The sequence below is a fragment of the Homo sapiens genome, chromosome 6 (assembly GCF_000001405.40).
Source record: "Homo sapiens chromosome 6, GRCh38.p14 Primary Assembly".
Lineage (NCBI taxonomy): Eukaryota > Metazoa > Chordata > Mammalia > Primates > Hominidae > Homo > Homo sapiens.
Genome location: NC_000006.12, coordinates 66,235,281 through 66,261,845, shown reverse-complemented (window position 1 = coordinate 66,261,845; position 26,565 = coordinate 66,235,281). Strand labels below are relative to the sequence as shown.

The window sequence follows — 26,565 nt, the reverse complement described above, 5'->3', positions numbered from 1 at the left end:
CTAAATTTCACCTTTATATTAGTGTGTTATTAATGTTAAACTTAATTTTAATAAAACCTTGTAGACATATTTATTCAATTTTTAATGTCTGACCATAAGGTAAGATTTTTATAGACTCTTTTTAACCTTTTATAGTTTCTGTTAAAGAGCAGGTTAGTGCTTTGAGAAAAAACTGTTGTGCTTTTATTTTAATATCCAGTTCACAGAAAGACTGGATTATACCACTTTAACTTCAGCTAATATGTTTACACACAGAATTTCCTTTACAATTAACATTTCAAAATTGCTTAAACCTTTAAAACAAAATATTTTTTAACCTTTTAATGTAGGTAAAAATCCACATTCTTATGCCTCCTTATAATCCTTTTACAAAAGGTATATTTTACTTTCCTTATACACCTTGCACATAAACTGTTTCTTGAATAGTTTTACATTCAGGCGGCCTAAATACTTTTAAATTATACAACATTTCTTGCATAAATTCCCTTTTATAACTTTTTTCATGACTTTTACAGACAATTCTTTGACATGCCTCAACTTTCTGACTTGTTGCAAACATCTCTCTCTTTAAACAACCAGTTAATTTATTTTAGAGCAAGAACTTCCCATGTAACATTCATTTTTACATAAATTCTCCCCCTGCTTCTTTTTTATTTTTTTTTTAAATGATAATCATTCTTTTCCAAAGCGAACTTCCTTCATGTCTGTGGACTAGGCTGTCTAAGGCCACAAGATTAGAAGTTAGGATAATACATGTTACACTGCTAACTTTTAGCAAACTTTACTTTTGTTGAAAAATTTTAAGTTGGGGATTTCAATTATTCTTTGCTATTAATAAGACCTAGTTCAGTCCATATTAACTTAGAATTAGTATAGATGGCTTTTTCCTGATTCTGTAAGTACTTTAAGGCTTGGCTGAGTGCAAACAGCTTGCACATTTGAGCAGACCAATTATTAGGCAATTTTCCTAACAATGCTTCTACAAGAGTTTCCTTATCACTTACTGAATACCCTTGTGTCTTTTTCTCTCAATCAACTGGGAGGAACCATCTATTGTCCTGTCCTGAAGTGAGTTCCTCCTAGGTCTGGTCGGACCTTTGTATGGTAATTAAGATTTAAATCCTCTGTTAGGAAACCTGCTGGGTTAAGGGAATTTTCAGTGGTTAATGTTAAATCATCTTTTTCTAACAGAATCATCTTACACTTTAAGTACTTTAAGGTTCTTGAGTCAATAAGCTACATTTTTGCTTTTTTTTTTTTTTTTCACTTAGGATAGTTCTGACCTGATGAGGTGTGCTCACAATGAGGTTTCCTCTAAAAGTTATTTTTCTACTTTCTTCTGTTAGCAAAGCAGTTGCTGCTACAGATTGAATGCATTTGGGCCAACCGTGGATTACCGCTTTAAGGATTTTTGATTAGGAAGGCTACGGGTTGTCGGTGGTCTCAGTTCTTTTGGGCTATGCCCTTGTTTACACTGACAACAAGGTGGTATTGGAGTGTTATAAGGTGATGGAGAAGACCTTCAATTATTCATTATAGGTTTTAAATTTACCCTGGCTTTTAAAGAAATAGGATACACTCTTTTCTCTTTACTACTTCTAAGTCTCTCTTTCTCCCTCTCTTCCTCTCTCTCTCTTTGACTCTCTGTCTCTTTCTTTTTCTATCTTTGACTCCCTCTTTATCTTTCTGTCTCTTTCTCTCTCTCTCTCTCTCTGCCTCTTTCTCTCTCTTTTCGACTCTCTGACTTTTTCTCTCTCTTTCTTTCTGACTTCCTCTCTCAGTTTCTCTTTCCTCTTTGCTGATCTTTCCCTGCCTCTGCCAGCCACTTATGCTGGTGTTCTCCCCTCTCCTTCCCCTTCTCCTAGGGGAGGGGGTGGTGGGAGTGGAGCTACTCTGTCTTCCCCCAAGACAAAAGGAAAGGGGAGTACTGAGTATTTTTCTTACTACTGGAGGTTTGTGTGAGGTTTGACGCACTGAAATTTGCAGAAGCCTCAATCCCTCAAACCAGGGATGTCTCGCCTTGCTTGCCCCGGAAGGCTTACTCCCTCAAACCAGGGATGTCTTGCCTTGCCTGCCCTGGCAGGGTCAACCCCTCAAACCAGGGATATCTCACCTTGGGCTGCTCTGTAAGGTTGACCTGTTTCCTCCCTTTCCCCTTCTGAAGGTCCCTTGCACACTTCCCACTCTCTGGCTGCTCCCCCAGGGGAGAATTAGGCCCTTCTTAGTGTTAGCGTGCCAGTATAAATCCCATGGCAGGATACGCCCTAAGCCATATGAGGTAGCTATGGAAACGCAGAGAGAACCCACTCCCTCCATCCAGCAGTAGGACTTGTCATCATCCACACGAACAACACTGCAAGTAGGGTTGTTTGTAATCAGTCACGCACACACACATTTAGCCCTCCAGAATTTGACCACCAAGGAAGTACTTTACCAGCTCCCGTGGCTTCTCCTTTCTTGATCTGTGCACAGAGTCATTCCTGCAGCTAGGTTGCTAGGGAGTTTCTTTCTGCATTGCTGAGAGCTCAAGTTATATCTTGCACTGGGTGGGTCCTGATTTCTCACCCCTGAGGCTGCCACAAGGGGGCGGAGCAAGCCTGCTTGCAAGAGAGGACCAGAGATCACCCTCGGAGGGGAATGTAATCCTGGATGAGCCCCCAAATTGTTATAAATAAAGTTTTGGTGCCACAAAAGAAATATCACTCCAATATAAAATTTTCTTTGTAATTCTCGCAAGGCAATGTACTTCTATAGAAGCATGTGCCCTTGCATATGGAGCAATGGTGAGCACACACTTGGACAAGGGAGGGGAAGAGGTTCTTATCCCTGACACATGTGGCTCCTGCTGCTGTGTCATTCCCCTATTGGCTAGGGTTAGACTGCACAGGCTAAACTAATTCTGATTGGCTAATTTAAAGAGAGTGATGGGGTGAGTGGTTTGGTGGGAAAAATGTTTATGGCAGAGCAGGAAATCTGAATGAGTCAGGGTGGAGAATGAGCAGGTAATTGGAATGAGTCAGGGTGGAGCAGATAATTGGAATGAGTTGGGGTAGAGTAGGTAATTGGAATGAGTCAGGGCAGAGAAGGTAATTGAAAGATTGCTTTACGAGGAAGTTAAGTTTATCGCCAAGTAGAAGGCAAATAATTGAACATACTGACATATTGATTCTTTGAAGAGAAATTTAGAACTCATATCTAACAGTGAAACTAAACTCTCTACTAAAACTACAAAAATTATCCAGGGTTGGTGGCAGGACCCTGTAATTTCAGTGATTTGGGAGGCTGAGGCAGGAGAATTGCTTGAACTCAGGAGGTGGAGGTTTCAGTGAGCTGAGATCAGGCCACTGCACTCCAGCCTGGGTAATAGAGTGAGACTCCATCTCAAAACACAACGAAGCAAACACCTAAAAAAAAATCCAACTACAGAAAACATTGTATTTAATGATAAAATATTGAATATTGTCTCCCAAAGATCAGGAAGAGTACATCTCCAATATTGCCACTTCTATTCAACATTGTTTTGATATTTTAGCAATTGAATAAAAAATGAAAAAAAAACTGCAATCAAATTTAAAGATTGGAAAAAAGTACAACCTTTATTATTTGCAAGTGGCATTACTGTGTACATAGAAATTATTTTTCAAATTTTAAAACATAATTGCTAAGTGAATGTATCAAGTTTGCCCGAGGTAAATACAACATAAAAAGTAATTGTATTTTTATATATTAGTGTCAAAAATTAGAAAATAAAACAAATTAGCAAAATGAAAATAGCAGAAAAATCACATGAAACACATGACTTCATATAATTAAAGTTTTGAAGACATCTGCATTGTATACTCTTACAGTGAGGTATATTTAAGGAGACGTAAATAAACTGAGAGCTATACTATAGTAATAAATTGACATGTTGAGTTATGTTAAGATGTCCATGACGGTACCATAGACTGTGTGGTGTTGTTGCATGGATAGGCAAACTACCAAAGTAAAGGATAGAAGGTGCTGAAATAGACCCATTTATATCTGATTACTGCTATGGTCTGAATGTGTCTCTCAAAATTCATACTTTGACACTTAATTGCCAATGTGAAAGTCTTAAGAAATGGGTACTGTAGGGAGTAATTAAGTAATGAGAGTGCAGTCCTCCTGGATAAAATTAGAGCCCTTGGTTAAAGGACTTGAGGCAATGGGTTTGCTCTCTTCCTCTTTTGTGCCATGTGAGAACAAAGTGTTAGCATTCTTTTGACTTTCTGTCCTTTCTACCACATGAGGTAAGTTACAAGGTGCCATCTATGAGAAACAGGGCTTCACCAGACACTGAACCTGCTGGCACTTTGATCTTGGGCTTCCCAGCTTTCATAACTGTTAGAAAACAAAATACTGTTCTTTAAAATTTACCTAATCTCATGTATTTTGCTATAGCAGCACAAAGATAGTTACCTTAATTAACTGAACAGTTCCACCAGAATTTAGTGGATTTAGATAGTCATTTTAATAAATAGTACTATAGCCATTCCCTTCATTTAAAAAATTGAGAAGATATCTATTTGAGAGTAATGCCAGAACTACATATGAATGTAAAGTAATTCAAATTTAGAAAAAAATTAGGAAGCTTGTCTTCATAAACATGGGATTGAAAATTATATTTTTATGTTAAATTTTTGTGGGTGCATAGTATGTGTATGTGTACCTAAATACTTTGATACAGGAACAAAATGCATAATAACCATATCAGGGTAAATGAGGTATCTGTCACCTAAAGCATTTATTCTTTTGTTATGTTACAAAGAATTCAATTATACTATTTTAATTATTTTTAAATGTACAAAAATTATTGTTCACTGTAGTCACCTTGCTGTGTTATCAAATGCTTGAGATTATTCACTCTCTCTAATTTTATTTTTGTACCCATTAACCATCCCCACATCCACCCCATCTAACCCTTCCCAGCCTCTGGTAACCACCCTTCTACCCTTTATCTCCATGAGTTCAATTGTTTTAATTTGCAGCTCCCACAAATAAGTGAGAACATGCAAAGTTTTTGTTTCTGTGCCAGGCTAAATTCACTTAACATAATCATCTCCAATTCCATTCATATTGTTGCAAATGACAAGATCTCATTCATTTATATGGCTGAATTGTACTCCCTTGTGCATATGTAACACATTTTCTTTATTTGTTTGTCTGTCTATTGCTTCCAGATCTTGGCTATTGTGAACAGCAGCACTGCAATAAACATGGGACTGCAAATATCTCTTCTATATGCTGATTTCCTTTCCTTTGGGTATACACCTAACAGTTTGATTGCTGAATCATATGGTAGCTCTATATTTAGCTTTTTGATGAACCTCCAAACTGTTCTCCCTAGTGGCTGTAATAATTTATATCATCAACGTGTATGAGTGTTCCCTTTTCTCAGTGACCTTGATAGCATTTGGGATCACCACTATTTTGGATAAAAGTCATTTCAACTAGGGTAGGATGATATCTCATTATGGTTTTGATTTGCATTTCTCTGATGATGAATAATGTTAAGCACCTTTTCATACACCTTTTAGCCATTTGTGTGTCTTCTTTTGAGAAATACCTATTCAGATATTTTGCCTATTTTTAAATCAGATTATTATTTTTTTTCCCATTGAGTTTTTTGAGCTCCTTATATATTCTGGTTATTAATCTCATATTGGATGAATAGTTTGCAATTTTCTTCCAATCTGTGGGTTATCACTTCACTGTGTGGATTGTTTCCTTTGTCATGCAGAGGCTTTTTAACTTGATGTGATCCCATTTGTCCATTTTGGCTTCAGTTACCTGTTCTCATGGGGTATTACTCAAGAAACTGTTGCCCAGTTCAATGTCCTGAAGAGTTTCCCCAATGTTTTCCTTTAGTTAGCTTGAGGTCTGAGACTAAAATCTTTGTAATTCATTTTGATTTTTTTTTCATATGGTGAAAGAAAGGGGCCTAGCTTCATTCTTTTGCATATGAATATCCAGATTTCCCAGCACCATTTATTGAAGAAAGTGTTCCTTCCCTAATGCATGTTCTTAGCACCATTGTCAAAGATGAGTTTACTGTATATATGTAAATATATATAATTTATATATTTATATAAAAATATAATTTATATATATATTTATATAAAAATATAATTTATATATATATTTATATAAAAATATAATTTATATATATTTATATAAAATATAATTTATATATATTTATATAAAAATATAATTTATATATATTTATATAAAAATATAATTTATATATATTTATATAAAAATATAATTTATATATATATTTATATAAAAATATAACATATATATATATATACACACACATATATATATATATATATGTCACTGGGTTCTCTATTCTGTTCCATTGGTCTATGTGTCTGTTTTTAGGCCAGTACCATGCTGTTTTGGTTACTATAGCTCTATAGTATAATTTGAAGTCAGGTAATGTGATTCTTTCATTTTTTTTCTTCCTTTTTGCTCAGAAGAGCTTTGACTATCTCTGGGTCTTTTGTGGTTCCACATAAATTTTAGGGTTTTTTTCTATTTCTATGAATAATATAATGGTTATTTTGATAAGGATTGCATTGAATGTGCAGACTACTTTTCATAGTATGGACATTTTAACAATACATATTCCTCCAGTCCATGAACATAAAATATCTTCCTATTTTTTATGTCCTCCTCAATTTCCTTCATTAATGTTTTAAAACTTTTATCAGAGAGATCTTTCTCTTCATTGGTTAATTAAATCCTAGATATTTTATTTTGTTTGGAGTATCATATGTGAGATTATTGTCTTGATTTTCTTTTCAGATTCTAGTCTGTTGGCATATAGAAATGCTACTGATCTTTGGTGCTGATTTTGTATCCTACAACTTTACTAAATTTATCATTTATAATATTTTTTCATAGAGACTTTAGATTTTTTCAAAAATAAAATTATATAACCTGCAAACAAGGATAATTTAACAACTTCCTTTCCAATTTAGATGACCTATATTTCTTTCTCTAGTGTGATTGCTCTAGCAATACTTCCAGTATTATGTTGAGCAACAGCAACGAAAGTGGGCATCCTTGTTGTGTTTGCCTATCTGAGAGGGAAAGTTTTCAGTTTTTTATTGTTTTGTATGATACTAGCTGTGGGTTGGTTACATATGGCTTTATTGTGTAGAGGTATGTTCCTTCTACCCACAATTTTTTTAGCATTTTATACATGAAGGGATGTTGAGTTTTACAAATGCTTTTTCAGCATCAATTGAAATGATTATATGGTGTTTGTTCTTGATATAATTTGTCTCATTGATTAATTTGCATTTGTTGAATTATCCTTGCATTCCATGGATAAATCCCACATGGTTATAATGAATGATTTTTCTAATGTGTTGATGAATTCTGTTTGCTGGAACTTTGTTCAGAATTTTTGTGTCAAGGTACATCTGAGATATCGACTTGTAGTTTTTGTTGTTTTGTTTTTATGTGTCTCTGTCTGGTTTTGATATCAGGTTAATACTGGTATTGATATGTTTTGGGTGTGTTACTGCCCAAAGCTTATCTTGAATTTAACTCCCATAATTCTCATGTTTCATGGGAGAAGCCCATTGGGAAGTGACTGAATTATGGGGGTGGGTCTTTCCTGCACTGTTCCCCTGTTAGTGAATGAGTCTCAGGAGATACGATGGTTTTAAAAATGGGAGTTTCCCTCCGCAAGCTCTCTCTTTCCCTGCTGCCATCCATGTAAAATGTGACTTTCTCCTCCTTGCCTTCCACCATAATTGTGAGGCCTCCCCAGTCATGTAGAATTGTAAGTCTCTTAAACCCCTTTCTTTTTTAAATTACCCAGTCTTGGGTATGTCTTTATCAGCAGCATGAAATGGACTAATTGAATAAATTGGTACCAATAGAGTGGGGCACTGCAGAAAAAATAACTGAAAATGTGGAAGTGACTTCACAACTGGGTAACAGGCAGAAGTTGAAACAATTTGGAGGGCCCAGAAGAAGACAGAAAGTCATGGAAAAGTTTGGAACTAACTAGAGACTTCTTGAATGGCTTTGACCCAAATGCTGATAATGATATGGGCAATGAGATCCAGGAGGAGGTAGTCTCAGATGAAGATGAGGAACTTGTTGAGAACTGGAGCAAGGTGACTATTGTTATACTTAGCAAAGAGACTGGCAGTATTTTGCATCTGTCCTAGAAGTTTGTGGAACTTTGAATTTGAGAAAGATGATTTAGGATATCTGGCAGCTGCACACATTTGCATACGTAATGATAAGCCAAATATTAATCCCCAAGACAATGGGAGAAATATCTCCAGGGCACATCAGACATCAGAGGTCTTCATGGCAGCCCCTCCAAACACAGATCCAGAGGCCTAGGAGGAAAAAGTGGTTTTGTGCACTGGGCCCAGCGTCCCCGTGCTGTATGCAGCATAGGGACTTAGTTCCTTGCTTCCAGCCACACCAGCGATGACTGAAAGAGGCAAGATAGAGCTTGGGCCATGGCTTCAGAGGGTGCAAGCCTCAAACGTTGGCAGCTTCCATGTGGTGTTGAGCCTGTGAGTGCACAGAAGTCAACAGTTGAGTTTTGGAAATCACCACCAGGATTTCAGAAGATGTATAGAAACACCTGGATGTCCAGGCATAAGTTTACTGTAGGCACAGTGCTCTCATAGAGAACCTTTGCTAGGGCAGTGTGGAAGGGAAATATGGGGTGAGAGCCCCCACACAGAGTGCCTACTGGGGCACCACCTAGTGGAGCTGTGAGAAGAGGGCCACTGTCCTCCACACTCCAGCATGGAAGATTCACTGACAGCATGCACTGTGCACCTGGAGAAGCCACAGACACTCAACGCCAGCCCATGAAAGCAGCCAGGAGGGAGGCTGTACTCTGCAATGCCACAGGGGCAAAGATGACCAAGAGCATAGGAACCCACCTCTTACATCAGCATCACCCAAATGTTAGACATGGAGTTAAAGGAGATCATTTTGAAGCTTTAAGATTTGACTTCCCCACTGGATTTTACACTTGCATGGGGCCTGTAGGCCCCTTGTTTTTAATTTCTCCCATTTGGAATGGCTGTATTTACCCAATGCCTGTACCCCCATTGAATCTAGGAAGTAACTAGCTTGCTTTTGATTTTACAGGCTCATAGGCAGAAGGGACTTGCCTTGTCTCAGATGAGACATTGGACTATGAACTTTTGAGTTAATGCTGAAATGAGTTAAGACTTTGATTTGGTTGTGTTCCCATCCAAATCTCATCTTGAATTGTGATTCCCACAATGCCCATATGTTGTGGGAGAAACCCAGTGAGAGGTGATTGAATTATGGGGACAGATCTTTCCTGCACTGTTCTCATGATAGTGAATGAGTCTCAGTAGATCTGATTATTTTAAAAATGGGAGTTTCCCTGCACAAGCTCTCTCTTGGCCTGCCGCCATCCACATTAGATGTGACTTCCTCCTCCTTGCCTTCTGTGATGATTGTGAAGCCTCCCCAGCCATGTGAAACTGTAAGTCCATTAAACCTCTTTTTTTGTAAATTGCCATGCTTGGGTATGTCTTTATCAGCAGCATGTAAATGGACTAATACAGGCATCATAGAATGAGTTTGGATGTATTCCCTCCTCTTCTATTTTTTAGAGAGTCTGAATGGGATTGGTATTAGTTCTTCTTTAAATGTTTGTTAAAATTCAGTGGTGAAGCTATTGGTACTGGGTTTTTTTTTTTATTGTTGGGAGACTTTACTATGGTTTTGAATTTTTATATGTTATTGTCTATTCAGGTTTTAGATTTCCTCATAGTTCAATCTTGGTAGGTTGTATGTGTCTAGGAATGCATCTATTTCTTCTAAGTTTTTCAATTTATTGACATACAATTGCTGATAGTAGCTTTTAATGATCCCTTGAATTTCTGCAGTTTCAGTTGCAATGTCTTCTTTTTCTTTGATTTTATTTATCTTTCTTTTTTTTCTTAGTTTGCTAAACCTTTGTTGATTTTGTTTATCTTTTCATAAAACCAACTTTTTGTATTGTTGATCTTTTATATTGCTTTCTTCATTTCAATTTCATTTATTTCTGCTCTAATTTTTAAATTTTTTTCTACTAATTTTAGGTTTGGTTTGCTCTTGCTTTTCTAGTTCTTTAAGATATATCCATAGGTTGTATATTTGAAGTTTATCTCTTTTGTATGTAGGCATTTATAGCTATAAATTTATCTCTTAATACTCCTTTTGCTGTGTCCCACAGATTTTGGTATGTTGTTTCCATTATCATTTGTTTCATTATTTTTTTAAAATTTCCATCATAATTTTTGATCCAATGGACATTCAAGAGTATATTGTTTAATTTACTTGTATTTTTATATTTTTCAAAGTTTCTATTGTCATTAATTTTGAGTTTTATTTCATTGTGGGGAGAGATGACATTTGATATGATTTCAAAATATTTGAATTTTTGAAGACTTGTTTTATGTCCTAATATATGGTCTATTGTTGATAGCAATTCTTATGTTGAGAAAAGGAATGTGTATTCTGCAGCTGTTGGATAAAATGTTTTATAAATATCGTGTTAGGTCTATTTGGTCTATAGCATAGACTAAGTTCTTTGTTTCTTCATTGATTTCCTCTCCAGATTATCTGTCCGATGTTAAAAGTGGTCTGTCAAAGAGTCCAGCTATTGTCGTTTTGGGTTATTTCTCCCTCTTAAGCTCTAGTAATATTTGCTTTAAACATTTGTTTGCTCCAGTGTTGAGTGCATATATATATATATTTATAATTGTTATAACCTCTTGCTAAAGTGATTGCTTTATCATTATATAATGACATTTATGTCTCTCTCTTTTTTTTAATTATACTTTAAATTCTAGAGCACATGTGCACAACGTGCAGGTTTGTTACATAGGTATACATGTGCCATGTTGGTTTGCTGCACCCATTAACTGGTCCTTTACATTAAGTATTTCTCCTAATGCTATCCCTCCCCCTGCCCCCCACCCTATGTGTGATGTTCCCTGCCCTGTGTCCAAGTGTTCTCATTGTTCAATTCCCACCTGTGAGTGAAAACATGCAGTGTTTGGTTTTCTATCCTTGTGATAGTTTGCTGAGAATGATGATTTCCTGTTTCATCCATGTCCCTGCAAAGGACATGAACTTATCCTTTTTATGACTGCATAGTATTCCATGGTGTATATATGCCACATTTTCTTAATCCAGGCTATCATTGATGGACATTTGGGTTGGGTCCAAGTTTTTGCTATTGTGAATAGTGCCACAATAAACATACATGTACATGTATCTTTATAGAAGCATTATTTAAAATCCTTTCGGTAAATACCCAGTAATGAGATCACTGGGTCAAATGGTATTTCTAGTTCTAGAACCTTCAGGAATCACCACACTGTCTTCCACAATGGTTGAACTAGATTACACTCTCACCAACAGTGTAAAACTGTTCCTATTTCTCCACATCCTCTCCAGCATGTTGTTTCCTGACTTTTTAATGATCGCCATTCTAACTGGTGTGAGATGGTATCTCACTGTGGTTTTGATTTGCATTTCTCTGATGACCAATGATGATGAGCATTTTTTCATGTGTCTGTTGGCTGCATACATGTCTTCTTTTGAGAAGTATCTGTTCATATCCTTTGCCCACTTTTTGATGGGGTTGTTTGTTTTTTCTTGTAAATTTGTTTAAGTTCTTTGTAGATTCTGGATATTAGCCCTTTGTCAGATGGGTAGATTGCAAAAACTTTCTCCCATTCTGTAGGTTGCCTGTTCACTCTGATGATAGTTTCTTTAGCTGTGCAGAAGCTCTATAGTTTAATTATATCCCATTTGTCTATTTTGGCTTTTGTTGTCATTGCTTTTGGTGTTTTAGTCATGAAGTCCTTTCCCATGCCTATGTGCTGAATGGTATTGCCCATGTTTTTTTCTAGGGTTTTTATGATTTTTGGTCTAACATTTAAGTCTTTAATCCATCTTGAATTAATTTTTGTGTAAGATGTAAGGAAAGGATCCTGTTTCAGCTTTCTACATATTACCAGGCAGTTTTCCCAGCACCATTTATTAAATAGGGAATCCTTTCCCCATTTCTTGTTTTTGTCAGATTTGTCAAAGATCAGATGGTTGTAGATGTGTGGTGTTATTTCTGAGGCCTCTGTTCTGTTCCATTGGTCTATCTCTCTGTTTTGGTAACAGTGTCATGCTGTTTTGGTTACTGTAGACTTGTAGTATAGTTTGAAGTCAGGTAGTGTGAGCCTCCAGCTTTGTTCTTTTTGCTTAGGATTGTCCTGGCAATGCGGGCTCTTTTTTGGTTCCATATTAAGTTTAAAGTAGTTTTTTCCAATATTGTGAAGAAAGTCATTGGTAGCTTGATGGGGACAGCATTGAATCTATAAACTACCTTGGGCAGTATGACCATTTTCACGATACTGATTCTTCCTATCCATAAGCATGGAATGTTCTTCCATTTGTTTGTGTCCTCTTTTATTTCGTTGAGCAGTGGTTTGTAGTTCTCCTTCACATCCCTTGTAAGTTGGATTCCTAGGTATTTTATTGTCTTTGTAGCAATTGTGAATGGGAGTTCACTCATGATTTGGCTCTTTGTTGGTCTGTTGTTGGTGTATAGGAATGCTTGTCATTTTTGCACATTGATTTTTGTTTCCTGAGACTTCATTGAAGTCACTTATCAGCTTAAGGAGATTTGGGGCTGAGATGATGGGGTTTTCTAAATATACAATCATGTCATCTGCAAACAGGGACAATTTGACTTCCTCTTTTCCTAATTTAATACCCTTTACTTCTTTCTCTTGCCTGATTGCCTTGGCCAGAACTTCCAGCACTATGATGAATAGGAGTGGTGAGAGAGGGTATCCCTGTGTTGTGCCAGTTTTCAAAGGGAATGCTTCTAGTTTTTGCCCATTCAGTATGATATTGGCTGTGGGTTAGTCATAAACAGCTCTTATTATTTTAAGATACATTCCATCAATACCTAGTTTGTTTACAGTTTTTAGCATGAAGGGCTGTTGAATTTCGTTGAAGGTCTTTTCTGCATCTATTGAGATAATCATGTGGTTTATGTCGTTGGTTCTGTTTATGTGATGGATTACATTTATTGATTTGGGTGTGTTGAACTAGCCTTGCATCCCAGGGATGAAGCCAACTTGATAGTGGTGGATAAGCTTTTTGATGTGCTGCTGGATTTGGTTTGCCAGTATTTTATTGAGGATTTTCGCATCGACAATCATCAGGGATATTGGTCTAAAATTCTCTTTTTTTGTGGAGTCTCTGCCAGGCTTTGGTATCAGGATGATGCTGACATCTTAAAATGAGTTAGTGAGGATTCCCTCTTTTTCTATTGATTGGAATAGTTTTAGAAGGAATGGTACCAGCTACTCTTTGTACCTCTGGTAGAATTTGGCTGTGAATCCATATGGTCCTGGACTTTTTTTGGTTGGTAGGCTATTACTTATTGCCTCAGTTTCAGAGCCTGTTATTGGTTTATTCAGCAATTCAACTTTGTCCCGGTTTAGTCTTGGGAGGGTGTATGTGTCCAGGAATTTATCCATTTCTTCCAGATTTTCTAGTTTATTTTGTGTAGAGGTGTTTATAGTATTCTCTGATGGTAGCTTGTATTTCTGGGGGATCGGTGGTGATATCCCCTTTATCATTTTTTATTGCATCTATTTGATTCTTTTTTCTTCTTTATTAGTCTTGCTAGTGGTCTATCAATTTTGATGATCTTTTGATACTTTCTGTTTTAGTATCTATTTAGTGTGATATAAGTATAGCTAATCCTGCTCTCTTTTTTGTTTCCATTTACGTGGAATTTATTTTTTCATCCTTTTATTTTCAATTTCAATGAGTCTTTATTGGTGAAGTGTGGCAATTGTAGGCAATAGATCATTGCATCTTGCTTTCAAAATCCATTCGACCACTCTGTCTTTCAGTTGGAGAGTTTTAATCCATTTACAGTCAATATTATAAGTATAATTGATAAGTAAGGACTTACTCCTGTCATTTCATTTGTTTTCTGGTTGTTTGGTGGTCTTCTATTCCTATTTTTTCCTTTCTGTCTTTCTTTTAGTGAAGGTGATTTTCTCTGGTGGTATGTTTTCATTTGTTGCTTTTTACTTTTTAGATATCTGTTGTATGTTTTTTGATTTGATGTTACCATGAGGCTTATGAATAATATCTTAAAACCCACCATTTTAAACTTATGACAACTTAACAGTGATTGCATCCACACACAACCTAGCAAACAAGCAAAGAGAATACTAATAACAACTCTGCACTTTAACTTTATCCTCCCGCATTTTAAGTTTGTGGTTTCTATTTTTACCTTATTGTACTGTTTGTGTCATGAAAAGTTGGTATAGCTTTTATTTTGATCACTTCATATTTTAGTTTTTCCCCTCAAGATATGAGTAGTTTATAATATTCTGTCTTTTTCTCTAGACTTACTATGACCATTGAGTTTTGTACCTTCAGATGATTGCTCATTTCCTCATTAAATTTCTTTTATTTCAGATGAAAGAATTCCTGTTAGCAATTCTTGTAGTAGAGGACTAGTGTTGATAAAATGCCTCAGCTTTTGTTTGTATTGGAAAGTCTTTATTTTTCCATAATGTTTCAAGAACACTTTTACTGGATATACTAAACAACATAACCTTTACATAATTACTTGTAGTATGCACTACTTTATATTTAATTTTAATGTACTTTCATTATATTTTAATATTAAGTTATTCCTATGTAATTAGGAAATAGAGGAAAATGCAGGTATATCTGATAAGAACATCAATAAGCCATTCACTTTCCATGCTATTTTATAGAAGGTCATTTTGCACACAAATTTTTATTTATTATGACTTTTTAAAGAACTGAGAGCAAATATTCTTCATTAAAAAAGGCAAATAAAATAAGATTTATGATATACAAATACATGCCATGGTACAGAGCATAACAATTATATGATTTATATTTTTAATAATAAGTCCAGTATTCTTAAATTGAGAGATTGCCTTCAGGTAAATTTAGATACTTTAAATTGAATAGTTATTGGGAATATCTATGCTACTAATCTGTCAGCTCATTGCCACTCTATATGTGTCAAGTATTAATTACCCAGAAGTTTTAGTCACAATTGATCTTTGTTTGTGAGGAAAGTATATGTGATTTTTTTGCTATAATTCTTAGTAGACATTTTAAAATAAAATTGAGTATATTTGCAGCAGATAAAAATATAAAGTTATATTTTGTTCCAAAAGGTGACAGTTTTGGATAAAGCAAATAGGCATTGACCTGAATTGCTTTTTATAGAATAATAAGCCATTACATTATATTATATATTGTAGCATGAAGGAAATGTGAGAGCACATTTAAGATCAGTATACCTTTCTTCCTTTGGTGTCAATGTATATACTGAATAATTCATTTTGCTAATCTAATGAACAATGTTTGTTTTGCTTGAATGACTAGCTGGTGAAAAAATGGACTCTCTAGAATTATTCTTTAAATTACCTTTTCAATAACTATACAGATAATAAAAGTGAATGGTTGGGCGCGGTGGCTCATGCCTATAATCCCAGCACTTTGGGAGGCCGAGGTGGGTGGATCACAAGGTCAGGAGTTCGAGACCAGCCTAGCCAGTATGGTGAAACCCCCGTCTCTACTAAAAATACGAAACTTAGCCAGGCGTGGTGGTACACACCTATAATCTCAGCTACTCAGGAGGCTGAGGCAGGAGAATTACTTGAACCTGGGAGGTAGAGGTTTCAGTGACCCGAGATCATGCCACTGCACTCCATCCTGGGCAACAGAGTGCAACTCCGTCTCAAATTAAAAAAATAAATAAAAAATAAAAAAATAAAAGTGAAGAATGAATACTGAAAACATAAGCACATAATCAAATTGCATTTTTCCTCCAAAACTAAAAATTTTGCTTTTTTTGCATGACTGTTTCTTACAAATGAACACTCATATTCTGTCTCATTAATGCTTCTGGGAATAATCTTGAGCCTTGAATAGAGAATATATTGTAGAAAAGACTGAAAAGAAGACATAGCACCTTTAGAAGTTCCATAATGGATGCTTAAACTTCACAATGAAAACAATATCTAGTCCATTGAGCATACCTTTTTGCCCACCTTAGTAAAACAAGTATCTCCTACTTTTGATTGCATGTGTAAACCGAGAAGGCCAGATATTATTCCAGATAGAAAGTCTAACAGTAGGGAATATTGAGACTTTGTGGAGGTTATTTCTTCAATTTTAGTCCTTGTTTACTGAAGAAAAAGATATTTCAGTATTTTGTGTATGACTTCTGTGCCTCATTTGGCTCAGCTTTGTTACCAGGAAACAAAGAGAAACACTCAGAATGGTACTTGGCCCAGGAATAATGTCTTCCTGCTGTCTGTGTTCTTCTGGCATAAAATCTCTGCATGATTCACAGGAGACCAAATAATTCTAGAGTAAGAAATCCCAAGCATTATATAAAAATACTTTCAAATAGACGATGAGAGCAAACATTGAAAGGGATAGATTTCCTCAACTGGATTAAGGTCCATGTCTATATTTTATCTTAAGAGTTTTCCATAAAAATTTTGCTGTTCATATTATACTGTTTATTGTTATCATCCCTGAATCATCATAAATGAATAAGCATTATATGCTGACAAAAAGGGAAAAATAGAAAATATCTCACTACTTGTTTTACTGTGTGTAGCAATGTGATACTGTCTTGAGATTTCAGGAAGAATTTTGGTATTTGTTTAATGCACAATTTCTTTAACTGACATCTTGGGAGCTGTGAGATGTGTAATATGTGTTAGTACGTGTATTTTGTATATATGTGCACAACAGCAATGGTCCAGCTCAGACACAAAGATGTTTGAAGTAGTTTTCTCAGCAGTGTGTTCATGAATTGAAAGATAAGCTTAGGGCAAAGACAGCATAGTTTCAGAAATTGACATTGCAAAACATATGCTTAAAATCACATAACAATTTGATTGCTATTTGGTTTGTTTTCTTTGTTGCTGGTTTGGTAAAAAAGCTACTGTGTTACTGATTATTTATGATTGATATTTTTCCAAATCAAGTATTTATCATTGAGCAATAAAATCGTATGTTGAGGGTAAAAACAGTACCTATATAGAAGTGTCCATATTACTATAACTACACTTATTTGCTGATGTGAATACTCAGGTTTGTTTGTCTCTTTGTTTTAAACTATATGGTCAATGGTCTTAATGACTTAAAATAAAATTCCTGCTCAATTTAAGGAGGCCCAATGAGCCTACAGTAGCCTATTGATTTTTATTTTTTTCTTATGGTTTCATGAGGAAAAAAAGTGGTTAAAATTTATGAGATAATCCCTGATAGCCCAAGATAGTAGGGATTCTTATAAAACATACATAATTTTCAAGGCCTCTGAAATTCAAACTAGATTATCTTGTACTACAATAATTTTAGGCTAATACTTGCTATTATATTTATATATATATATATGTTCTGGAGACAATATCTAGCTTTGTACAATGCAACATTGTATTTTATATCATCTCCAATTGAACACCACGTACACAGCTATAACGTTCTTAGAATGGAAGAGGATTTATGAATTTTGGAGGATAACTAGTAGTGTTTGACACACGGGGATTAACATTCAGTCTCTGAAGCATAATGGAAATACTAGTTTAAACATTAGTTCAAAATTTGACTAGTTAAAAATTAGATGAATAGTATCAATCACATGGGACTGTTGTGATACTTACATATTCTTGGCCAAAGTAGGTGCTCTATAATTGGTGGAAATCTTTGTTGTTGCTTAAGACTCATTTGATAATTTTTTATTACTCTGTCAGCCTATCAACATTTTGTCATCCATGTATCATCTATATTTGTCTTTCATAATTTCATAATTATCCAGTGATCTTGAATATTCTTTCAAGTATCTGTATATATATATACACACATATATATATGTAAAACCAAGCTGTTTTGGTTGTAACTTTTGTAGTAAATTATATTTTGTCATTTAATAACACCTCTTATAGAAACTCATGTTCCTGTGAATTATTTTTATTGAATGAGCTTCAGACTTCATAACACGCCTACAGTACATGTTAAATTGATAGAAAAATATTGTCACAATAATTTAATATTCACTGTCTCCACTTACTTATTCTAAGTATCTGAGTAAAAATAATCAGAAAACTGTAGAAATTCATAAACACAAACACTCACAGAGAGAGAGAGAACAAGTCCCTCAATAACATCAGTTTGTTCAACATAGTTTCCTGACAACATTGAGCAATAAAAAGAACAACAACAACAACAACAAACAGTTCCCATCAGTGCCACTGTCTGTGTAGAGCTTGCATGTTCTGTCCATCTCTGCATAGGTTTTTCTTTGGATGCACCAGTTTTCTCCCACATCCCAAAGATATGTACATTAGATGAATTGACTTATCTACATTGTCTGCATGTGGGTGTGTGTGTGAGCGCCCTGGATGCATCCTGTCGAGGCTTTGTTCCTGCCTTATGTCCTGAGCTGCCAGCACAGGCTTCATCCACCTGTGACTCTGAACTGGAATTATTGAGTAAATTATCTTACTTATTTTTATTAATGTTTTTAAATGTATGCATAGCTCATATTTATTTCAATGTTTAAAATTAGAAGCATTTTCCCCGTCGCTACTAAAAATACAAAAAATTAGCCGGGCGTAGTGGCGGGCGCCTGTAGTCCCAGCTACTTGGGAGGCTGAGGTAGGAGAATGGCGTGAATTCGGGAGGCGGAGCTTGCCGTGAGCTGAGATTGCGCCACTGCACTCCAGCCTGGGCGACGGATCTCAAAAAGAAAAAAGAAAAAAGAAAAAAATTAGAAGCATTTTGCCCTTTATTTTAAAGCTTGGTGGTGTCTTTGTATGCAGAAATATATGGTAGGAATTTAACTCTCATTTATATCAATTAGCCTATGGTAAAATTGGTTTCATTATACATCATTTTACTTAAAGTGACAGTTTCCAAGAACCTATCGATGACATTGAGGACTTAAGTGTATGTGTGTGTATATCTGTATGCGAGTGTGTGTGTATATATGTGTGTGTGTGTGTGTGTGTGTATATATATATATATATATATATATATATATATATATGCACACATTCCAGTACTTATCAATGAAAAGCTTGACAATAATCACTAGGCAAATAGGATGGAGCATTAGTTTTCTGTTGCTGCCACAACAAACTACCACAAACTTAGCAGTTTACAACACCCATTTATTATCCCACAGTCTGGTACATCAAAAGTCCAGGGACATCATTGCTCAGTTGGTACTTTGTTTGTCACAAGGCCAAACTCAAGGTGCCAGCAGCCTGTGTTTCTTTCTGGAAGATCTGGGCATGAATCTACTTCCAGACTCATTAGAGCTGTTTGCATGATTCAGTACCATTGTGGCTGTAGGACTACAGTGCCCTTTGGTTACTGGCTACTGGTTGGGGTCATTCCAAGCTTTAAGAGGCAACCTATATTTCAAGGTTTATGATATTCTTTCAGCTTTAATAACAGCAATGATTAGTCAACTCCTCCTTATGCATTAAAAATCTATGATGTCCTCTTCTACCTCACTCTTTTCTGCCTTCCTCCTCTGTTGCATCTCTCTAAATGTTCTTTCTTTTCTGCTTTTAAGTGCTCCTGTGATTACATTGAGCACACCTGATAATTCAGAATAATTTCTCTAAATTTAAGGTCAGTTGATTGGTATATAAAATTACATCTGCAAAGGCCCTTCATAACACAGCCTAGATTTGTGTTTGATTGAATAACCCGGAGTTGAGAAACTTGAAAGTGGCAAAGGCAACTTAGGAATTCTGCCTATCACAAAAAGAAAATCTTTTAATTTTGTTATTTGCATTAATATATCAATATAGAGGCAGCAAACCATTCTCATTGTGAATACAAAGGAAACTGATCAGTTGCCTATGCCAGTTGCCATAAGATTTATGGAAGCAAATTTAATAAATAGTGATGACTACAAACAGACATGTTTTGAATTTGTAGTTATAGCATGTGGCATTAATTACCTAGTTGCATTTTTTACAGATATCAAGCTTCATTTACTTCCTTAAAGTAATGGAGCAATTTGCAATATAATTCATATTTTCATATTACATTTCACAAATATAATTTTTCCTATTCTGACTATATTCCCCTAAGAAAAATGCCATGATTTGGGAGATTAATCTTATAAAGCATGGAGCTACTTCTTAATCTTATTCCAGCGATCTTAAGATTTAGTTAGTACTGTTAACTTACTATGAAATCCACCCTTTAGCTCATTTTATCAAAATAAATCTGGGCCCCTGAAAAATTAATTGACTTTTCCAGGTTTCTACAATGTGTTAGTGAAGAGAGGGAGATGATGTTTCTACCCCCTTCTCTTTATTTCATCTGTTAGTCTACATTACTTTGTTTTAGGGATTTAAGTTATTGCATCCATTTATTAACTGTGCTCCCAAATACTACATAGGCTTTTATAATAGAGAAAGCAATTTTCAAAATTTACGTTTTATTTTAAACATTCCATTCACAAGTTAATGTACACTAACAACAACAATTTTTTAAAACGCATGTTTTCTACTTGCTTTTGTTTTCTTTTTGCTTAGAAGAAGTTGTGATGTCCAAAAGGTTAAAGGCTTCACAGACCTTCATTGGCATTAGGGCATTCACACAGCAAAAAGCTATTAAAAACATCAATTTCACAGTATAAGTAGAAAGAAATTAAAACATGATTAATTTTTTATGAAAAATTCATTGGCTTTGGAAATAAATAAAATATTCTAGAAAACATTTTTATAGTCATTTGAAGAATAATATATGAATAAGGTAAAAATGCTAGAGGATTTGTATTTTGCCTGCCAAATATTTTTAAATAACTCAATAATCACCACCGTTAACAGGAATAGCAGTTATTCGCTTTGTATCTAATTTGTGTATGATACTTTTTGGTCCTAACAATAAGAGATATTTACAAAGTTGGCCCTGCAAATTACAACACCAAGATTATAAAGGCATATATGGAACACATATATAAAATTATTATTTTTTAACTGTTGAAATAGCTTTAGGACAAAGGAGTGTTAAGTATGACAATTCAGAGAAACTGGTTGTAACTCACAATTTGTTTAGACTCGTGCCTCTCAAAAGTGTGCACCCAGACCATTCATATCACCTGGGAACTTGTTAGAAAGGTAAGTTACCAGGCTCTGTCGTAGAGCTACTGAATGAGAACTTCTGGATAGAGGAACAGTTATCTGTGCTTTTATAAGCTCTGTAGGAGATTCTGAGAGAGCTAAAATTTAAAGGAACCACTCATCTGAGGGAAAGGGGGAAATAGTTTTTGAAAGCCTCGAATGCATCAAAAAGAACTTCTTAAAAACCTGGAGAACTTTACTTTTTGAACTGAGAATTTTGACAGGTTACTTTGTATGGAAGGTTCTTTGGGGGAGAGATTAAGAACAGATAAAGAACACAAATATTTAGATTATCTTTTAAGTTCTAAACAATTGCAGATTATTTGTAAAAAAGACAGCATTTTGAGAGTACTCTACTTGAGAATGAAGAGTTTACTCCTAGCAGATAATGTTGACTGAAAGGCAGAAACTGGGTAAGAGAATAATGATGAGATAGCAAGCAAGATAAGCAGTGGATTCCAACTTAATATGCAGGAGTTTATTACACACATAACCTTCTGTTTTTTCAATGCCAAGATAATTAAGAAGAAATAATTATACATTTATATAGGATTATTTCATTATGCAGAATAAAAGTAGTGAATCTATTTCTCCTCCAGGTCTTAAAGCTTCATTATATAAAAATATGTTGACCGCGTGCAGTCGCTCACGCCTGTAATCCCAGCACTTTGGAATGCCGAGGTGGGCGGATCACCTGAGATCAGGAGTTGGAGACCAGCCTGGCCAAGATGGTGAAACTCCATCTCTACTAAAAATACAAAATTAGCAGGGTGGTGCAGGACTGTAATCCCAGCTAATCGGAAGGCTGAGGCAGGAGAATCACTTGAACCCGGGAGACGAAGGTTACAGTGAACCGAGATTGTGCCATTGCACTCCAGCCTGGGCAAAAAGAGCAAAACTCCATCTCAAAAAAAAAAAAAAAAAAAAAAAAGTCCCTTCCTGATTTCCTTAGAGGAGTGACAACCATTTATATAATGATTAACAAACAGTATCTCATTTAAAGCAGTCTAGGTTATTATATCTCATTAAGTAAATAAATTTTAGCTTATGTACTTATAAATAACATTTATTAAATACATTATAAATGATTATTTTCATTTTGGATCTTATTTTTTCTCATATTTGTATACCGTTAAAATTTTAAAAATACTTAAATCCTGAGCCATATATTTGAGATATAAGTGAATTGTTTAAATCACTACAGTAATGAGAAAAGTCATGGAAATTTTTGGCCAGGCATGGTGGCTCATGCCTGTAATCCCAACACCTTGGGAGGCTGAAGAGGGAGGATCACTTAAGACCAGGAGTTTGGGACCAACCTGGGCAGCACAGGAAGACTGCATCGCTACAAAAACAATTATCATTATAGAAATTTTTATATAGAATCAGTGTATTATCAGAATACTCAGAATTATAAACTTAGCAACAAAAAAGAAATATTTTGTTTGAGTTATCAGTTGTGGACATATTATGTCAGTTTGGTGTCAACAATTTGCTTTATCTCAAGTGTAGCATACACAAGTTAACTGGTTATACCATGATCTAAACAGTTTGGTACGCAGTAATAATAATAAATAATGCAGACTTAGGCAACTTGTACAAACATTTCAAAACAGAAATTCCTGTTGAAACATTTTCAAAAGTGAATTTTATGAAACAATTTTGGAAGCCTCAGAAAATATTCTCTGATATTTTATTTTATTGCTATGTTTTATTTTGGGATGATCTTAAAGGACATCAACATAGACTACAGAAATAGCAAAACTTCTTTAGCATGTTATTGTTACAAGAAAGAGGTACTTGCATTTGTGTTTGTGTTTGCAATAAAGCTGGCACAAACAAGCGGGTAAGAAAAGAGTTGAGATGAATCTAATATGTTAATGATTACAACGGTGCCAAGTAGCGCAGAATGAAATTAAAGGACACTGCTCTAAAGATGCCCTCCAATCTGTACAAACAGAAATGCTGATGACATATGGAATATAACAGAACACGTGAAAAGCACTAATACCAGTACTGAAACTTTAAGCAGTAATTTAGTCAAAGCATATATGCATGGTCTATGCCACAAGGGAAAATAATAGCAAATATTTGTTGAGTGATTGGTGTCATAAATAGTTCTAAATGCTTAACATATATTGGATCCTTTGATTTTTATAATAATCTTATGAGGCAGGTCCACTTATTATCCCTATTTTACACATACGGAACCAAAGACACAAAAAAAGGTCAGGCAGCATGTTTTAGTACACACAGCTAAAAGACGGAACCAGAATTTAAAGCGGAAAAATGTCCTGCTTGTGCTAATAATATTAATCACTATGTTATATATGCACATATATATTAAATTGTATCCAATATTTATAGCAAACATTGCCATGATCATTTATACTCAATGATAATTTACAAGAACATTTTATCAGTTGTATGAGTAAAAATTAAGATTTTTTCTAATTTTCAAAATGGAAATTCTAACATTTTATTTCAGAGTAAGATGGAAAGATCTCAAATGAGAGCAGAAATAAATATCTTTTATATTCATAACTTTTGTGAATATATGACCATTCACCAAAAGCTATTAAACAACCTAGTGACTATTTGCTTTTTTGTATTAAAAAACTCGGAAAAAATGAAAGTCAAATTTCAAAGGGGATCTTTTTCTTTGAACTTAAAGACCATATAGGATCTTGATTTACTTCATTTTTTAACTAGATTGTTGAACATCACATTTTCATTTTACATTATGATTTCTTTAAAACACTTGTCATGAAAATAAATACTTCATTTTATACCTTTAAAATTCATAATAATATGAGTAATGCTATATATAAACATATACATAAGTGTATATGTCCTGAGTATACCAAAAGCACGTTTATATTCAATTTTTAAATAGTATGAGATACAAATTCTGGTCTTCATATTTTCTTTGGGACTTCATAATATCCAAGGAACATTAAAATACCAACTTAAAAATCCATGTAACTCTTCAAAATTGCATTGCTAAAATAAACAGATTCTCATTGCAATAAAAAAAGAAATTATTAAATGTCTATTTTAAAAAATGAAATCCCCTTTTAGAAAATCATTTGCAATAGAAACTTACCGAGGTAAACTTAATTTAAGACCAAATTCCTTTGACAGCTAAATAGTAATTGAATATAATCCAGGATATAATATATATAAAGAAGCATAATGAAATCCTTACCAATAACTTAATAAAACAATTACACAATACATCCAGATTAGAATTGTTTTGTAGAAAATAGGAAATGCTACATTGGTACCCACTAAAAGGAAAGCACATAAGACAATTTTTTTAGAAAAACAGCATAATCAGATAGTAAATGCTGTTTTGTTTAAAGTCACCTTGGTCTACATTTTCAAGATTGGCAATATGGACAACCACAGAAGCATGTAGATCACCCATGTTTTCTAAACAATGAGTTACCAATCTTCAGCATAATGTTTGTGGATACATTAAGTTGTTTCTGTTCTTCTTTTTCAGAAATTTGCCTGGTTAAAAACCATAACTGCTCTCTAAACACATGATAATAGAATTTTAACAAACGGTGCCTAAAATTATTTTCTTAAGCCAGTTATTTTCTAGTTTCATAGTCATTCTGCTCATTATCCATTTTGAGTAACATAAGAGGCCAAAATCTTTTAAACAGTGACAATTACTTACAAATATTTTGTAGTTCAAGAAAATAGATTGAATGCCAGTTTATTTCTGTCTAAAGAGACATGATAGCTTTATTTTACTTAGCTGCCTTTTATTGCTTAACTTTTACAGGACATTTAAATCATTTATAGGCAAGTGTCCACCAGATTAGAGTGAGTATAAGGAAGAGGGAGATGGAGAACATGACGTTGAAGGCTATTTCTGAACAAGTGATCCATGCCAGCCAATTGAAATATTTGATTCAATCTCTTTGAAGCTATTGTTTCTTTGAAAGGGCAAATTGCTGTTAAAATGGAGAACTGATGCTGGCTACTACAGTTAAAATAGTCTGCCCCTCAAGACTCATAGGGAAAATAGCTGAAGAATATAGAGTTTAAATGGGTTCTTGTTGTTTCCATTGGAGTCTTAACATTTACTTGCTTTTATTGATCTAAGGCTTATTAAATAAGTCTAGTAACTTAGTATTGTACGGTCTAGTGATTTATGCCTGTAGTCTTTAAATAGTGTGAGAGTCCTTGGAGAATGCTAAGCCTGAAGGCTATTAATAATATTCTTAATAATTTGCTTTGTTCTAATTTTTGATGTTTTCTAAATTAAAAGGAAGATGAGTACTTTAAAATCTATAGCTTTGTCCTAAAACACATGATTAAGCATGGATATCCATTTTTCTCAAAAACATATATAAAATGATGTAAATCAATTTATTTTTGTGGCACATATTGTCATCTGGGTATCTTAATGTTCCTTCTTGCTTTTTTCCTTGATAACCTGAGAGAGGAGCTATGTGCCACCTTCCTAATTGCCTTACATATAGCTTATGCATTTGCCATCACACATTAGAAATCTGCTGAGGTTTCTTCTTAAGCTGTGTTTTCCTGATAGAAAGGAAATGACATGAATTTTCCCTTATCCTCTTCCCTTTCTAACTTAAGGTCAACCTGATACCTGACTGAAGCAGCTTTCAGGAAACAAGGAGACAGCAAACCTGAGGAAAATAATCATAGAAATGTTAGCCACAATAGTGTCGAGTCATTCAATCAGTAGCAGCCCTGGTTTTGCCTGATTTTATTATTCTATTAAAAAAAGCACCCTGATTTTCTAAGAGGCAACATTAAGGCTTTCTGTTTCTTGCAGTTATAACTAAACTGCTGTTTTTTTAATGAAAAGATATTGATTGATGTTTTGTATGTATCCCATAGAGTCTACAACTGACATGTGCCGATAGTAGCTATTTTTTTTAATTGTTCAAATTTTATAGCTGCAACATGCACATGGATCCATTGGCTGTGTGACTACAGGAGGGCAGGCAGGGATTTGGTGACCTTCTTGTACTGTGTGTGGTCTGCACCATGATGCTGCTACTGCTCTCTTGGCTTCTAACTATGTGATAGTATCCCAGACAGTCCCAGCAGCTACACTCAAATTTAGGGAAGAGTTGATGGCCTATGGCATGAACTTTGGATCAATGGGAAATAAAAGTACAAAAGAGAGGTTCAGGCAGATGAAGTCTTATCTCTTTCCCTGCACAACAGATTTTTTTCAGAGACTCACTATTTCATATAGTCCTCTGAGGTTTCCTACTGAGACTGTGTGAACCACCAACTGTGC

At 34.7% G+C, this 26,565-nt stretch overlaps 2 annotated features.

The window, feature by feature from the left end:
• Positions 8,215–8,384: an enhancer, noted in NCBI's record as "experimental_94052 CRE fragment used in MPRA reporter constructs". NCBI's record gives its function as "activates a minimal promoter by MPRAs in K562 erythroleukemia cells, with activity observed for the non-introgressed 6:66963440 or rs208536 variant allele {active_cell/tissue: K562}" and the evidence as "EXISTENCE:reporter gene assay evidence [ECO:0000049][PMID:34662402]".
• Position 8,299: a transcriptional cis regulatory region, noted in NCBI's record as "Neanderthal adaptively introgressed variant 6:66963440 (GRCh37/hg19 assembly coordinates) or rs208536 in the experimental_94052 CRE". NCBI's record gives its function as "modulates activity of the experimental_94052 enhancer by MPRAs in K562 erythroleukemia cells {active_cell/tissue: K562}" and the evidence as "EXISTENCE:reporter gene assay evidence [ECO:0000049][PMID:34662402]".